Source organism: Homo sapiens, chromosome 16 (genome assembly GCF_000001405.40).
Source record: "Homo sapiens chromosome 16, GRCh38.p14 Primary Assembly".
Taxonomy (NCBI): Eukaryota; Metazoa; Chordata; class Mammalia; order Primates; family Hominidae; genus Homo; species Homo sapiens.
Window position 1 is genome coordinate 66,918,932 of NC_000016.10, and position 15,531 is coordinate 66,934,462.

The 15,531-nt window shown below is 55.2% G+C and overlaps 2 protein-coding genes across 5 annotated transcripts, besides 8 other annotated features; both read right to left on the bottom strand.

The window, feature by feature from the left end:
• Positions 2,711–3,234: an enhancer, noted in NCBI's record as "H3K27ac-H3K4me1 hESC enhancer chr16:66955545-66956068 (GRCh37/hg19 assembly coordinates)". NCBI's record gives its function as "activates a minimal SCP1, AML or CMV promoter by ChIP-STARR-seq in naive H9 embryonic stem cells {active_cell/tissue: H9 hESC(naive)}" and the evidence as "EXISTENCE:reporter gene assay evidence [ECO:0000049][PMID:30033119]".
• Positions 2,754–6,604, bottom strand: RRAD (RRAD, Ras related glycolysis inhibitor and calcium channel regulator). Of its 2 annotated transcripts, none has more exons than NM_004165.3 (5): positions 6,478–6,604; positions 5,879–6,263; positions 4,915–4,988; positions 4,585–4,789; positions 2,754–3,422 (listed from the first exon to the last, which is right to left on the bottom strand). In NM_004165.3, exons 2-5 carry the CDS (start codon positions 6,246–6,248, stop codon positions 3,145–3,147), a joined length of 927 nt encoding a protein of 308 aa, NP_004156.1. In that variant the 5' UTR covers positions 6,249–6,263; positions 6,478–6,604; the 3' UTR covers positions 2,754–3,144. The 2 variants fall into 2 exon arrangements, with proteins under 2 accessions (NP_004156.1, NP_001122322.1); NM_001128850.2 differs by having other exon boundaries at positions 5,879–6,272.
• Positions 3,235–3,758: an enhancer, noted in NCBI's record as "H3K27ac-H3K4me1 hESC enhancer chr16:66956069-66956592 (GRCh37/hg19 assembly coordinates)". NCBI's record gives its function as "activates a minimal SCP1, AML or CMV promoter by ChIP-STARR-seq in naive H9 embryonic stem cells {active_cell/tissue: H9 hESC(naive)}" and the evidence as "EXISTENCE:reporter gene assay evidence [ECO:0000049][PMID:30033119]".
• Positions 5,969–6,408: a silencer, noted in NCBI's record as "silent region_7571". NCBI's record gives its function as "represses an Ori minimal core promoter by ATAC-STARR-seq in GM12878 lymphoblastoid cells {active_cell/tissue: GM12878}" and the evidence as "EXISTENCE:reporter gene assay evidence [ECO:0000049][PMID:35858748]".
• Positions 6,539–6,598: a silencer, noted in NCBI's record as "silent region_7572". NCBI's record gives its function as "represses an Ori minimal core promoter by ATAC-STARR-seq in GM12878 lymphoblastoid cells {active_cell/tissue: GM12878}" and the evidence as "EXISTENCE:reporter gene assay evidence [ECO:0000049][PMID:35858748]".
• Positions 8,224–9,423: an enhancer, noted in NCBI's record as "P300/CBP strongly-dependent group 1 enhancer chr16:66961058-66962257 (GRCh37/hg19 assembly coordinates)". NCBI's record gives its function as "activates an origin of replication core promoter dependent on BRD2, BRD4, P300/CBP, MED14 and CDK7 cofactors, with strong dependence on P300/CBP, by STARR-seq in HCT116 cells {active_cell/tissue: HCT116}" and the evidence as "EXISTENCE:reporter gene assay evidence [ECO:0000049][PMID:35650434]".
• Positions 9,141–9,310: an enhancer, noted in NCBI's record as "active region_10944". NCBI's record gives its function as "activates an Ori minimal core promoter by ATAC-STARR-seq in GM12878 lymphoblastoid cells {active_cell/tissue: GM12878}" and the evidence as "EXISTENCE:reporter gene assay evidence [ECO:0000049][PMID:35858748]".
• On the bottom strand, positions 13,134–15,471 carry CIAO2B (cytosolic iron-sulfur assembly component 2B). Of its 3 annotated transcripts, none has more exons than NR_046109.2 (5): positions 15,326–15,471; positions 15,056–15,235; positions 14,683–14,808; positions 13,849–13,894; positions 13,134–13,369 (listed from the first exon to the last, which is right to left on the bottom strand). NR_046109.2 is itself a non-coding variant. In NM_016062.4 (5 exons), exons 1-5 carry the CDS (start codon positions 15,431–15,433, stop codon positions 13,272–13,274), a joined length of 492 nt encoding a protein of 163 aa, NP_057146.1. In that variant the 5' UTR covers positions 15,434–15,471; the 3' UTR covers positions 13,134–13,271. The 3 variants fall into 3 exon arrangements, 1 of the variants encoding a protein (NP_057146.1); NM_016062.4 differs by having other exon boundaries at positions 15,056–15,135; positions 15,292–15,471; NR_024525.3 differs by having other exon boundaries at positions 15,056–15,471.
• Positions 15,077–15,126: an enhancer, noted in NCBI's record as "active region_10945". NCBI's record gives its function as "activates an Ori minimal core promoter by ATAC-STARR-seq in GM12878 lymphoblastoid cells {active_cell/tissue: GM12878}" and the evidence as "EXISTENCE:reporter gene assay evidence [ECO:0000049][PMID:35858748]".
• Positions 15,157–15,356: an enhancer, noted in NCBI's record as "active region_10946". NCBI's record gives its function as "activates an Ori minimal core promoter by ATAC-STARR-seq in GM12878 lymphoblastoid cells {active_cell/tissue: GM12878}" and the evidence as "EXISTENCE:reporter gene assay evidence [ECO:0000049][PMID:35858748]".
• Positions 15,472–15,531: the final 60 nt, after the last annotated feature.

Consider the following 15,531-nt stretch of genomic DNA (forward strand, 5'->3'; position numbering starts at 1 on the left):
AGCCACGCTTGCTCAGGAGTGGAAAAGGCCACTGGGCCCACAGCAGCAGGCCTGGCCCCGCCCAGCCCCCCAAGTTACTCATTGACTTTGGAAAGCCAGGAGCTGCTCAGCATCCGTGACTGCCAGCTCCAGGAGGTGGGGAGATGGTTGGCCTGGCACTCCCTCGACCCCAGCACAGCCCAGGAGGTATTCCTTGGCCCTCTGGTTCTGGACGTTACTTTTTCTGTGGCTCCAGACTTGGTCTGACTTATCTCCCAGGCTCCAGTGTCTGCAGCCACACCTTTTCACACTCTGTTCCTTTTGCATGGAACACCCTTCCCACTCATTCATCTGTGTGGTAAGCACCTGCTCATGCATGCTTCAGTGCTCAGCTCAAATATTCCTTTTTCCAGGAAACTTCCCCTATGTTCCCAGGCTTGTTCAGGAGCCTCCTCTGGGAATGCCCCTCCCCCTCACACCATGCCATGTGCTATCTCTATTAATACACAGAGGACACCAGCTTGTCATTGTCTGCCTCTTCCATTAGATTGGGAGCCCTTTGAGAGCAGAACTCAGGGACTCAGGAATGACCTGGCTCTCATTCTGCCCTGGCAGCTCCGCATGGCTTGTGGAACTAAGACAAGGAGCTGGAGGTTGCAAAGGATGGGTGAGCAGTACATGAGTGGAAGTGGGTATTGGGGCTCCAGACCACCCCCCCCAGGGGGACCTGTGGTGGGGGAGTGCAGCAGCCTATGAGCTCCCGAAGTCCTTACACTGGCCACTCAACAGTGACAGGGCTGAGACAGTGGGCAGTCTCATGCCCCTAAGAAGATTAAACTGGCTCAGGTGACCTTGAGGGAGTTGCAGGGCTGAACAGGGGCTCTCCCCGCAATGAGGGCAGCCAAGCAGAGCCAGGAGATGCTTCTGGGGCCTGGGAGTCTGGAATGAGGGGAGAGGGTGGGAAGAAGGTCTCCAGTCCCTCTCCAGCCTTGGAGCTTCCCATGGTCCCCACGAAGTCCTTCCCACTGTACATCTGATTAGTCTCTCTCAGGCCAGAAGCTACCCCCAGCTGCCCCCAGCCTTGTCACAAGCTGAGTGCCTGCTTCAGGGTCACTCTGGCACCCAGCCTGGAGCAGTGTAGTGTGGGGAGGTTGAAGGGGGTTTCACACGTGTTAAGCTCCTGCTCTGTGCCCAGCACTGCTCTGAGCACATACCTTCATTATGCCACATACTGCGTTCTGAAGGGGCATTGGGCACATGCTGGGGCACAGAGAAGCTGAGTGGTTTGCCTAGGGTCACACAGTCAATAAGTGACAGAGCCAGGAAGGCCTGGGGACCCTCACTTGATCTGAAAATACCATGCCTTCTGCATTCCTTGAAGTATGTGGGGAGGAGGGGCAGAGCAGCAACAGCTCTGAGCAGTTACCTCTGCCCTGGGGAGCACGTGGGTGAATCTCAGCGCTCCCCTGTACATGGAGGGGCAGCCCTCAAGCCTCCTCCTGCCATTCAATAAGCTGCAATCAGGATTCTAACCAGGTTGCCAGGGCTCCCTGGAGTCTGTGGAATGAATAAATTGAATAAATTGAACTAAGGAAGGAATGTATGGACCTTGGCCCAGAACCTTCTTAGAAACTGCCCCCCACCTTGCCCCAGGCTGCCTCCAGGCTTTGGAGATGGGCAGACCTGTATACCAGTCCCCACTCAGCCACTTCCCACCCAGCACCAGATGGGGATGGTTTTTCCTGAGACCATGTAGATAAAAACTCTTAGCAGCACTTGTGCCGAGGGTGAGGGAATGAATAAATTGAATAAATTGAACTAAGGAAGGAATGTATGGACCTTGGCCCAGAACCTTCTTAGAAACTGCCCCCCACCTCGCCCCAGGCTGCCTCCAGGCTTTGGAGATGGGCAGACCTGTATACCAGTCCCCACTCAGCCACTTCCCACCCAGCACCAGATGGGGATGGTTTTTCCTGAGACCATGTAGATAAAAACTCTTAGCAGCACTTGTGCCGAGGGTGAGGGAGCCATGGGCATGGGTGGGCAGGGAGACAGGTGCATCCCTAAACATAAGCACGAGTACACCTTCCTATACAAATGCAAGACCTCTCATTCCAGGCAGGGCGGGCTCCCGGCAGCTGTTCCCACCAAAACTGAATTAGCCAATGCTGAGCATGGAATGTTCTGGCCTGGATACTCATGGTAGAGAGAACAGTGAGTGCCTCCTCCGTAGCTCAACCCCAGTGAAGTGGTGGAGGAGCCATGTGGAGCTGTGTGTGCCTTCACAAACCACCCCTCGGAGGTCTCTATCCCCAACCTCAGCTGATTCCAGCCCCTCAAGAGGGAACAGGGCAGAAATACCAGCTGTGGAGCCAGATCCTGTCTGGTTGTGAGACCCAGGGTTCCTGCCTGGTTGTGAGACCCAGGGTTCCTGCCTGGTTGTGAGACCCAGGGCAGAATGTGCTCCCCTGAGCAGCCTGTTTCCCTTTATGGACAGTGAAGTGATTGAACCCTCAATCAGTTGGGCAACGCCAGGCCCCAGTGCAGAAAGAGAAGAATCTGGATAACAGGGACTGGGAGGGGTTTGTGTCTCCTGCTCCTTGAACCTCTAACCAGACCCGATGCCCATCCCAGCTGGCTAAATCTGGACCCTCACATTAACACATCATGGCCACACACTAGGGTGGGGCAGTGAGCCCCCATCCCTCAACTTCAGAAATCCTTCCAGCTCCTGAAGCGCCCAGATAGGAGGAAAGAGAGTCAACAGCCATGACTATCAGGAAATAGCCTTTATTACAAAAATCTGCATGTAAACAAATAGCTACCGCACTGAAGAGCCTCCCTCCAGGGCAGGCACACCCGGGCTGTGAAAAAAGGCAGAGTCCTCTCCCGGCACGCAGGCCTGCCCGGCGGCTGCGCTGCGGCTGCTTGGGACGCATATGAGCCTGCGCATGCATCTCTGTGGGCCCAGCCCTCACTGGCCCCTGAGAGCCACTTCGCAGGGCAGCACTGTCTATCTGTCCATGACCATGAGGTTGGGGGTGCCCGGCTGGCAGCTCCGAGGGACCCAGAGTCTGAGCCTGCTCTGAGGCACCCGGGGCAGTTGGCTGGGCCAGCCCACCAACCCTTCCGTTCGTCTCCCACCATAGTGGGAGCGGGTGGGACCTAGAGAACCGAGAGGTCGTGGCAGGACTTGGATTTGGCGCGAAAGGCCATCTTGCGGCTGTTACGAGCTACGATGCGGCCCAAGAAGCGCTTCGCCTTTTTGCCAAGGCTCTCTCGCCTCCGGGTGCCTGCTTGCCGTCGTGCGTTGGCTTCTTTGCTGTCCCTGCGCAGGCGTATCTGGCGCACGACACCTTCAAACAGCGCCTGGACATTGTGGTGCAATGCCGCTGATGTCTCAATGAACTTGCAGTCAAAGACCACCGCGCAGGCCCGGCCCTCTGTGTGGGTGGGGAAAGGCAGGCACCAGTAAACAAAGGGTGGGTGAATGAGGAGTCCCCTCCAACAGTGGCCACCCATGGAAGCTGCCACTCGAGAATTTGCAAGGTCCTCCCCGAAAACACAGAGACCCCAGCTCCTGTACTGAGGGTACTGGGCACTGCTGCGTCACCCAGTAGGCAGAGTGCCTGCATTTAAGGAGCCCCCAAAACAGTGGCCCTCAAAAGGAGATCCATTTATTGAAATAATTTGAAGCCTGATATTTAAACAAAGTACGACAGTAGTAAACACAGGAAAATGAGAACTATGTTGGACAACTTAGTATTTTATTTTATTTTATTTTATTTTTCTGAGATAGAGTCTCGCTGTCTCCCAGGCTGGAGTGCAGTGGCACAATCTCTGCTCACTGAAAGCTCCGCCTCCCGGGTTCACGCCATTCTCCTGCCTCAGCCTCCCGAGTAGCTGGGACTACAGGCGCCCGCCACCACGCCCGGCTAATTTTTGTATTTTTAGTAGAGATGGGGTTTCACCATGCTAGCCAGGATGGTCTCGATCTCCTGACCTCGTGATCCACCCGCCTCGGCCTCCCAAAGTGCTGGGATTACAGGCGTTAGCCACCCCCTGGCCCATGCCCCGCACAACTTAGTATTTTTTAATTCGAGGTTATATCATGATGAATGATCCAGTGGACTGGGGTTGCGGAGGCAAGGTCACCAAGTCACTGCTGGGTTCCTCTGAGGGGCTCAGTACTGGGGTCCACAGAAAAGGATGCTGAGGCCAAGTGGGAAGGGTCTTCCCCAGGGCCAAGTCTACTCTAAGAATGGCCCAGACCTAGCACACAGGCTCTGACCTCCTGGCCTGTTCCCCTACACTCTCTTCCACCCATTTACCCCCCCAACCAGCCAGGCCAGGACCAAGAGGGGCAGGAGAGGAGGGCCCTGCGGTGCCCAGCTCCCCTATCAGATTTGGTTCTTTCCCCAGCCCTCTGGGGCCTTCCGGAGCCCTGTGAGCAGGCACCAGCTCTCTCCCATTTCCCTCCCCGCCAGTTTTCTTTCTGAACATTTTTAGCCTCTGATGATCCCCAGGGACTCAAGCTGAGCCAAGACTGCCTGGATCAGGGCCCAGCTGGGCTCTCCCTCCCCCTGCAACCTGCCGCCTACTCACCATCCACCGAGACCTCACGAGAGCGCACCAGGTCGCTCTTGTTGCCCACGAGGATGATGGGCACATCATCTGTTTGCCGTGCACGCCGCAGCTGGACCCGCAGTTCTGAGGCCTTCTCGAAGCTGCCCTTGTCCGTCACTGAGTACACAATGACATAGGCATCCCCCATGGCCATGCAGTGGCCGGGCAACCAGCGGCCCCCGTCCTGGAGAACACACAACACACATCTGCCCAACAGTCCTCATGCCCCCGACACGAGCCTGGCACTCCCAGACCTCTAACCCAACTCACTCCTCCCTCCCCTGCCCTGGGTCTCTGCTTGCACCCTACCTGCTCCCAAATGTCGTAGACCATGAGTGATGCCTCTTCTCCGTCCACTACAATGGAGCGATCATAGGTGTGCCCTAGGCAGAAGGCCAGTAGACAGGTTACCAGCTGGTTGTCAAAGCCGCTGCTGCCAGGTTTCCTGTTCTGGCCACACCCTCCAACTCTTCCCCAGAGCCCTCCTTACCCTCCACTCCACTTGCAGATGCTGGTATGTGGCAACAGCAGTGCCAGGCAGGGAAGTGGGGGCTGGAGGGCATGGTGTGCCTGACCTCCACCCACATGCCCCCCCTGGGGACCTTGGCCACCTAGGGCTCCTCTCTTAGAAATCCCTCTGGTTAGAAACTCTGACCTGTCCCTGATAGGCAGGGAGGGATGTCCAGTCCCATCCCACAGAGTAGCCATATCTATGCCCTGGCCTTCTACTCTGGGCATTTCTTCCCTACCAAAGGCTGGGGGGTGTCCCTTCTCCTTTCCTTTCCCCATTTATGAAGTGGGTAGGTAGAGGCATGATTCTGAAAGCGCCAATAGAATTCCACAGTATTGGCCAGGTGCGGTGGCTCACGCCTGTAATCCCAGCACTTTGGGAAGCCAAGGTGGGCGGATCACGAGGTCAGAAATTCCAGACCAGCCTGGCCAACATGGTGAAACCCCAACTCTACTAAAAACACAAATATTAGCCGGGCGTGGTAGCAGGCGCCTGTAATCCTAGCTACTCTGGAGGCTGAGGCAGGAGAATCCCTTGAAACCTGAAGGCGGAGGTTGCAGTGAGCCTAGATCGAGGCCACTGCACTCCAGCCTGGGAAAAAGAGCGAAACTCTGTCTCAAAATAATAATAAAATAATAATAATAATAATAATAACAACAACAACAACTATAATTCCACGGTATTTGCGGCTTTGAGTACCGGTCTCAGCCCCTAGTCCTAGCCCCGGGATCGCCCCTCCCCTGAACAGCTGGGTCCCCTCACCTGCTGCCTCTGCTTCAGGCCCGTCCTCCACACCGCCGAAGATGCGCGCCAGGGCGCTCTTGCCCACGCCGGGCGCCCCCAGCAGCAGCACCTTGTAAACGCTCTCGTCTGAGTCGCTGCCCCCTGAGCTGAGCGAGTCCTCGGAGTCCTCGGGCCAGTCCAGCCTGGGACCCTGGGTCCCCGTCCCGGCCGCGGCCGCCGTCAGGGCACCCGGGGTCAGCGCCGCCTGCAGGTCGCGCTCGTCCACCGGCATGCTGCGGCGGTGCAGCGGCGGGGCGGGGCCCCAGGGTGTGCTGCCCCGACGGCGCTCGCGCTCCTGGCCCCCACCGCGGCTCCCGCCCGCTCCGCTGCCGCCGCCGTTCAGGGTCATCGCGTCCGGGACCGTCTAGGGGATCAGGAACCCGAGTGGCCGTGTAAGCCGCGAGGGAGGCGGGACCCGGGGCGCACCTGCCCAACCCGGAGTCAGGCGGGATGCTCCGGCCGAGGTCCCGCCGCAGCCCTCCCCCAGCCCCCAGGTCGCGGCGCCCTCACCCGGGACCCCTCCGGACCTGGCGCATCCATCTGCAGCCGCCCCGACCCCGCTCCGCCAGGACACTCACCCACTCGCACACAGACACGCTCAGGACTAGGATCCGGATTAGGAGGCCACGCACTCGTAGTCCGGACTCGGACTTTAGGGTTTCCGCCGCCGCTGCTGCTGCAGCCACCGCCTTCTCAGCCCGCACTGGGCTCTGGCTCCAGAGCCGCCTATTTAAGCCTCCACCCGCCCCCGCTCCCGCCCCCGGTCCACGCTGCTGCGGGGGCTGACGTGTCTGTCCACCCCCACCAGGGGAATCCCCCACCCTCTTCCTCGGACCTTACATCCCCGACACCCCGCCCTACCCGCCAGGGGAGTAGCGGTAGCTGTCTGGGAATAGAGGGGCTGACCGGTAGGCGAGGTCCGGAGCTGAGGGTGTGTGTGAGAAGGAGAGAGAGAGCGAGGTTGCGGGGGGAGTACGTGATGGGGAGGCAGGCAGCGGGGTAAACCCAATCAGCCAAAAGCAGCAACTGCCCTCTGGAGAAGAATTCGGTCTGGCCCCGTGAGACTGAATTCTCCCTTTCCTCTCCCCAAGTCCCGGCTCGTCCTTTTAGCAAGTAAGCTAGTTACAGGCTGGACAGAGATCCCCCTTCTCTGCCCATGACACCCACTCCCCATAGGCTCAGGTCTGAGCTAGAATTTAGGGGGTGTCCTAAATTCACACAAAATCCTTTCCACTCCCCATCCTGGAGTTGAAGATTCTCCCTAATGAGCCTAACCTTCAGTGTGAGGGTTGGTGTCACCCCATGAGCCCCTGGGGGCCCTGAGAGGGCTGTTGGGGGTGGGGGCAGCTCTGACAGAGTTGCAGGTGGAGATGCCTGCTTGAACCCTGGGGAGGATACCCCAGCCCAGAAGAGGGAAGGGATTAAACTCAGTCCCCATCCCACCTCCCAGCACCCACCAGGCAGCTGCCAGCAACTCTGCTAAAAATAAATAATCTGCCCCAGCCCTGGCCCTGGCCGTGGCTCTGGTTATTCTGCTCCTGGACTGGAAGTTGCCCAGAGTTGGGGAAATCCAGGCCAATGGGTGTTGAATGCCAGCAGGAGCCAGCCACTTCGAGTCGTCAAGGTCTCCCTTCTTCCCTCTAGCTGTAGGCTGAGCCAGCCACCCAGGGCACATCCAGGGCCTGGAGGTTCAGGCCCCCACCCAAAAGGGGCATAAACACAGGGTGTGGTCAAGGCATGAGGAGTGTCTTAGCTCCCTGCTCATCTCTCAGGGGTCTGAGGGTTGCAGGTCAGGCTGTGAGGTATTTTGTGACAGGGACCTGCTATCAGACTGTGACATCTGATTGTGACAAGTGTGGTGGGGGTGGGAGGGCATCCATTTGGGGCTCAGGTGACATCACAGATGGATGGACCCTGGTGGGCTGTGGTAGGTTGTCATGGAGACCTGGGCCAGGCTCTTTGGCTGCTGCATCAGTTTCCTTGGCAACGCCTAAGAAGGCCTTGGATTGAGGAGGGCCTGGCTCGGTAAGATTAGGGCCCTCTTGTCCTTGAGGTCTTCAAAGTAGGCAAAAGCTGGGCTGAGGGGTGGCCTGCCCATGGTCCTAGGGGATCTTGGAGGCCTGAGCATCCCCATGCTGGTTCTGGCTTCCTGAACGAACTCCAGTGGGAAGAGGAAGTTATGGGCAGAGCCTCCCGTTAGCAGGCAAGTCTAAAGAGCCACCACACACTTCCCATGAGGAATCCTGGCTGGGCTGCCTGTGCCCCCTCCAACCCCATGACTGTGCCACTGGAAAGAGCCTCCTCTGGGTGTCTGGCAGAGGGCGAGGGTGGGGGGTAGCTGTGGCCCTTCCCAGCAGGGGGCCATGCAAAGAAGGAGGGCTGGGTTTCCCCTCTGGCAATCTGAGCTCTTGACCTCAGCAGTGTTTCTTCATTGCCAAGGGAACTGCAACCACAAAGGGCCACTCAAGCCCCAGGCATTCCAGTGGCTGCTCCAACAGGCCAGAGACACTCACCACAAGCTAGATATGGCCAGGGGCCCCAGGGATTAACACCAGGACACAACCTTGAGACACCCCCACTCCCACCACCTGGTTCTCCCAGCTCTCTGGGCTGAGCATGGCTGCCCAGGAGGAATAAACTGAGGCTAGAACCACTCCTAGGTCCGCCCGGGCTTCAGATCCCAGCTGTGCTCCTTGCTAGCTGTTTCACCTGTGTCCATTTATCTAGGCTGAGCCTCAGTTTCTCCAGTGTAGAACAGGGATCACCTCTTCCTGATGGTTATTATAAGACAAAACAAACATGAAATGCAGAGGCACAGTAGTTGGCTCAAGTCGGGCACACAGTAATATCTCACTAAGAGCACGTTTATCATGATCATCCTTCGTTGGATGGGGCAGGTTAGGTGAATTTGTGGTCCCTCTCCTGTTTCTGCTCCACTCTCTCCAGGATGGTGGTCTGTCCAGGAGTGGGGCAGAGGTCTCAGGAACAATGCAGATACCTCTCCCCTAGCCCCATACCCATGTCTCCTCTCTGTAGGACCCCACACTCTTCCCCGTCCCTCAGGTGACAAGATGCTGCAGAGGGAACTGGGCTGGGCTTCAGTGTCCCCACCCCCTCCTCACACCACAGCCTTCAGGCCCCAGAGCCTCTGCTGTGTTCTAAGGCCCAATGCATTCATTCATTCCGCGGTCCTGTACTAAATACCTACTGTGTGCCAGGCCCTTGTGCTGGGGGCAGGATGATGAGCAAAAATAGACATGGCCGGGCATGTTCATACATGTCATCTAATCCCTGGGTCAAACTCAGCTATGATTTGTTGTTCCCATTTTGTAGACATGGTAACCAAAGCCTGAGGAGTCACAGGCCAGAAACAGCAGAGCCAGACATACCTGGTGGAGGGTTTCAGGAACCTCAAACTTCACCATCCCCTGTACCCTTGTGTCCTCAGATAGCATCTGGGGTTCCAGAAAGTTCCCTGGGCACTGGCCCAGGATGCACAGATGGTGGCCCTGCAGGCAGCCAGGGGCCAGGCACTGATGAGTCAAGAGTGACAAGAGAACTATCTGATATGTCAGCTGTGGCATGAGCAGTTTGGTGTCCCTCACCCACCATGGCCTGGCTGCCAGGAAGGCCAGCCAAATGACTCAATCACACCTGCCGCCCCCATGACTCCCTTCATCCCCAGCTCAACACAGACACCATGGCCACCTCAGACAGGGACTGTCCGGCAGAAGGTACACACGTCGTAGGGTGTGAGGCCTTCAGCTCGGGAAGGCTCCCTGGGGCTCAGCTGTTCACTCTGCCTCTCTGGAGCCCTCAGCTTCCTCATCTGTGCGGGATACAGTGCCTAGATCATCAGAGCTAGGCCTAGACCCATTTAAATCTCCCAAGGGCAGTCCCAAGTGGTTGCCATGACTATCCCCCTCACAGATGAAGAAGCTCTGGGCAATAGGGGCTGATGGCTTCACCTCTCTGATCTTAGGTAGCCAGATCCAGCACCTCCTCTTGGTCATTAGGTGGCGAGGCCACTCCCTCCTAAGAGTGAGCTGAGTGGGAGCAATAGGAGTTGGGGTTCAGGATGGGCTTAGCCCCTTCTGTAGGCAACGGCGCCCCCTGCCAGCTGCACAGCACCTATCAAGCTGCTCAGGGCCTCCTTTACTCCCTAGCTGTAAGTTTTTTTTTTTTTTTGAGACAGGGTGTTGCTCTGTCACCCAGGACGGAGTGCAGTGGCACAATCATAGCTCACTGCAGCCTCAACCTCCTGGGCTCAAGCGATCCTCCCACCTCCGCCTCCCGAGTAGCTGGAACCACAGGCATGCACCACCATTCCCCACTAAATACACACACACATTTTATTTTAGAGACAGGGTCTTGCTATGTTGCCCAGGCTTGCCTCAAAATGCTGGGCTCAGGCGATCCTCACATCAGCCTCCCAAAATGCTGGGATTACAAGTGTGAGCCACCGTGCCCGGCTAGATGTCTTGAGAAGTAAATTAGAGTTGTCCCTTGGTATCCACAGGGGATTGGCTCCAGGATCCCCATGAATCCCAAAATCCATGAATACTTAACTCCTTTACATATATTTTTTTACTTTGTTTTTTAAACTCAACTTCAGTGGCTGAGATCAAGTCTCTTATATAAAATGGCACAGTATCTGCATTTAACCTCTGCACATTCTTCCATATATTTTAAGTCATCTCCGGATTACTACTGTAATACCTAATACAATGTAAATGCTATGTAAGTTGTTGTTAGACTGCATTGTTTAGGGAATAACAACAAGAAAAAAAGTTTGTACATGTCCAGTACAGACACAGTCATCCTAGGCCTAACTACATTTTCGATCCACAGCGGGTTGTACCCATGGATGTAGAACGCATGGATAATGGAGGTCTGACTACATTTATTCTAGAAGCCCATTTCCTGTCCGAAAATTGGGGATAAAGAATAGCAAGCGAGGTGTGATGGCACATGCCTGCAGTCCCAAGAATTCAGGAGGCTGAGGCAAGAGAATCCCTGGAACCCAGGCATTCAAGGCTGTAGTGTGCTATAATCATACCTACGGATAGCCACAGTACTCCAGCCTGGGCAACATAGCGAGATTCTGTGTCTCAAAAAAAAAAAAAAAAAAGAGAGAGAGAGGATAGCAATTGCTGCATAGGGCTGGATGGAGAACTGACTAGATAGTAAGTGTAAAGCCCTCGACTGAATTCCACTCTTAGGATAGGCTCAATGCTGTCAGCAGGCCCTCAAGAACAGATCTGCAAAATGGCCAGGATCCCTACTGAGGCTTCTCTGCCCACAATCATATCTGGGCCTCAGTAGGGATGAGGTGGGGTTGGGCACTGCTTCTTAATATTGCCATTTATCTTCAGAGAATGAGACTAAAGCAGGAAGGATGCTCCCCCTGGGAAAGTGATCCTAACCAGCTAAGCCAAGGTCTAAGCCCTACAGTCTGTCCAGGTGACCAAATGCAATCTGGGCATAGGGCCAAGGGGAGGCAGAGGCCTTAGACCCGAGCACGTCACTTCACAGTGCTGAGCTTCCCTCTTACTCAACACTGGGGGTGACACATGCCTTTGGGAGGGCTGATTGAGAGGGTGCCTCAGGTTCCCTTCAACAGAGAAGTCTGATGTCACTGCCCTTATCAGGGACCAGACGGCCATCACTAACAGCTGGAAAAGCTGGCATCACACACCTACTAGTGGGCTTATAAAATATATATGCCACTCCTGGGCAGGGTTTTCATCAAAAAGCGCAAACCTGGACTCACTGAGGCCTTTAGACCAATTTCCAGTTAAAGGCAACACAAATCAGGAACAAATCAGACTGCAGAACTGGGACTTCTCTGAACTTTTCCAAACAATCACTGTGAAAAAAGACAAAGGGCTGGGCGTGGTGTTCACACCTGTAATCCCAGCAGGTTGTGGGGCTTGAGCCTGGGAGTTTAAGACCAGCTTAGGCAACATAGGGAGACCCAGTCTCTACAAAAAATTAAAAAATTAGCCTGGCATGGTAGCACACGCCTGTAGTCCCAGCTACTCGGGAGACTGAGGCAAGAGGATCACTTGGGCTTAGGAGGTTGAGGCTACAGTGAGCTCTGATCACATCACTGCACTCCAGCCTGGGTGACAGAGCAATACACTACCTCTTAACAAAATGTTTTTTTGAATTAAAAAAACTGAAAAACAGCTAGGTGTGATACTCAAGCCTGTAATCCCAGTGCTTTGGCGGACCAGGTGAGAGAACTGCTTGAGGACAAGAATTTGAGACCAGGCTGGGCAACACGGCAAGGCCTCATCTCTACCCCCAAAAATAAAAAATAAAAATAAATAAATAAATAAATAAATAAATATTCTTTTGATTGGGCTGGTTGGGGTGGCTCATACCTGTAATCCCAACATTTTGGGAGGATGAGGCAGGAAGATCACTTAAGCCCAGGAGCTAGAGTCCGGCCTGGGCAACCTAGGAGACCCTGTCTCTACAAGAAAATTAAAAATTAGCCAGGCACGGTGGTGCATGCCTGTAGTCCCAACTATTCGGGAGGCTGAAGTGGGAGGATCGCTTGAGCCCAGGAGGTCAAGGCTGCAGAAAGGTATAATTGTGCCACTGTATTCCAGCCTGGGCAACAGAGCAAGACTGTGTCCCCTCAAAGAAAAAAAAATTTGGCCAGGAATGGTGGTGTATGCCTGTAATCCAAGCTACTTGGGAGGCCAAGGCTGGAGGATTGCTTGAACCCAGGAGTTGGAGGCTGCAGTGAGCTACAATCTTGCCACTGCACCTGGGCCTGGGCAACAGGGTAAGACCTTGTCTCAAAAACAAAACAAAAACAACTATGATGACACATTAGGGAAATCCAGATATGCCTGGGTATTAGATGGTGTTGAGGAACTGTTCATTTTCTGATCAGATAAAAGTATTGTGGCTATACAGGCTTATATTGACTATAGGAGCTGCAGTACTTCAAAGTGAAGAGTCAAGTCTCTGCAGCTTACTTACTGATATTTATATATGCACACATAAATATGGCCAGTGTTGCAATATGTCAACAACTGTTGACTCTACTGGTGGTGGTGAGCATACAGGCACATTCGTACACTACTCTTTCCATTTTGATTTTATTTTACGAAAAGTTGCAAGTACACCACCCTTTAGAGGCACTTACTACCACCATCCCCCCCTCAAACTCCAAATGACTCCACCAAGATGAAAGACACCAAGGCATGCTGGGAACTGAATATAAATTAACTTTATTACAAAAAGCAAAATGTTAGTTTCTCATTGTGAGTGATTCAAGAAAACAACGGTAACAGCCCTGGCAGGAGCTGGGACCAGGATACCAGTATGCAGGCTGAGGGGTCAAAGGCCAGGCTCAGGAGCGGGCTGACAGGCACTGATTCACAACCTCCAAGAGGTGGGTGTTCTCCAGGGCAGCTGCCACCCGCTCCTTATCTGCAAGTTGCTTGTTCACTAGGTGGGAAGAAGGGTGTGGGGAAGGCAGAGTCAAAGCTAGGCTCTGGCCAGAGTGCTAGCCAGCCCTACCTCTGAACCTCTATATAGGATATGTCCCCCGCAGCAACAGAGCCCTCCTGTCACCTCCTTCCCAGGACCCCACATATTGATCAGGCTACTTCAACCACCTGAGCCCACCTAATCTGCCTTCTTAGGATCCCTCCCCCTGGCTGCCTCCTGCGCTGCTGAAGCCTGACACACTCTGGTCCTGTATATTTGGTGAGAGGGGATTTGGGAGAAGAGGACATGGTAAGCAAAGGAGAGTCTTCTCAGGCCAGCTTCGGTCTAGGCTATAACCCATACTGAGGAGTCTCTGGCAATTTCACTCACACAGTTACCCATCTCCAGTCTTGCCCATAGACTCCTGTGCAAGGGGGAAGCCTCAGACTGCTTAGGGGGTGCCCGGGCCAACACCCTCACCACCAGTCCACACTTACCTGCATGCTCTGAGGCATGGGTCCCCGGAGTAATGTGCACGTCCATCTGGGAGGGAGATAACCAGGGCCTGAACACCCACCCACCGACCCACACTTTTCCCTGCAGCCCCCAGACCCTCAGGCACCATCTCCAGCTGATCCTTCCTCCTAATCATGCCTTTGGACTCTGGCCCTTCCGTTACACCCCAAACCCATCCACAGGTATTCCAATTCTTTTTTTTTTTCCAAGACTGAGTCTTGCTCTGTTGCCCAGGCTGGAGTGCAGCAGCGCAATCTCGGCTCACTGCAACCTCTGTCTCCCAGGTTCAATTTGATTCTCCTTCCTCAGCCACCCGTGTAGCTGGGACCACAGGCACACACCACCACGCCCCACTAATTTTTGTATTTTTAGTAGAGATGAGATTTCACCATGTTGGCCAGGCTGGTCTCCAACTCCTAACCTCAGATGATCCACCCGCCTCAGCCTCCCAAAGTGCTGGGATTACAGGCGTGAGCCACCGCGCCCGGCCCTAGCTATTCCAATTCTATCCAAAGAACTGGCCCACTACTGTTGATTTAAAGGCCTGCCTGTGCCCCACCCCTGGTCCAAACCCATCTGCCGCTCCCTACTGCCCTTCCTGCCACACTCTTCAATACTTTTCTCCACTTTCCAGCTCAGATCTTTATTCTTGTCACATCGACTTGGAAAGCTTCCTCCCAGTTTCCTCTCTGCTAATGGGGATCCTTCCAGGCCCCACTCTGATGTCCTATCCATGTTCATGCTCTCCCAGTCCCCATCCTCAGCAGTAGACCCTCAATGCCTGGTCTCACTCCCGGGGCTCAGCTCCAACTGACCTTGAAACGCTGAGGAAGGGAGCGCAGAAGCTTGACCTTGATGGACAGACCAATAAGGGTGGCCATGCTGCAGTGCGGAATGGTTGGTGTGAAAGCCACAGCCACTGTACTCTCGGGGTCGCTAACCTGGTTGTGGAGGAGAGATGTCAAGAGTCAACCACCCTCAGCCCAAGGTCCCTCTTCTTAGTTTGTTGTTTTGGGCAAATCATCCAACTTCTATGGGCCTCAGTTTCAACACCCATAAAATAGGCACAACAATCTCCCTCCCCAAAGATACCCTTCGGTGTTCGTGAGCATAGAGCACGCCAGCTCCTGCTGCACAGAAACCTTTCTGACTCTCTGGAACAACTCGCTCCCCTCGGAAGTGACTCACCTGAACCCGCACCTGCTCTACTACGTTCAACTCCTCTAGCGTCAGTGGATGCTCCGGGTCATTGATGGAGCGAATCAGATGTGGGAAGTGAAGGAAAAGGGACTCTGCGCCCTTGCCCACTTAGAACCCTCTGCCAGGAACGCCCTGCTGGGATGCGGCTCCACCAGCTGCTCGATATCACTGCTCCCCCCACCGCAAGCCCCCGGAACCCGCCCGCGCCCAGCAGCGGCGGATATCGAAGATCTCGCGTGCGTCGATGCTGTCGGGAACCTGCTCGTCCTCCTCGCCTGCCGTCACAGGCCGCTCCCCAGAGCGCTGGTAGATGAGGGGGTTGGCATTCTCCAGGAGGCCGCCGCCGACCCCGCCGCCGCCTACCATCGCGGAACCACCACCGCTGATCCTAGCAGGCGTGCGCTTCCGCTCCAACCCGCGCACTTCCGGAGAACGGGAAGGGGGCGTGGCGTGGCGACGGAGTC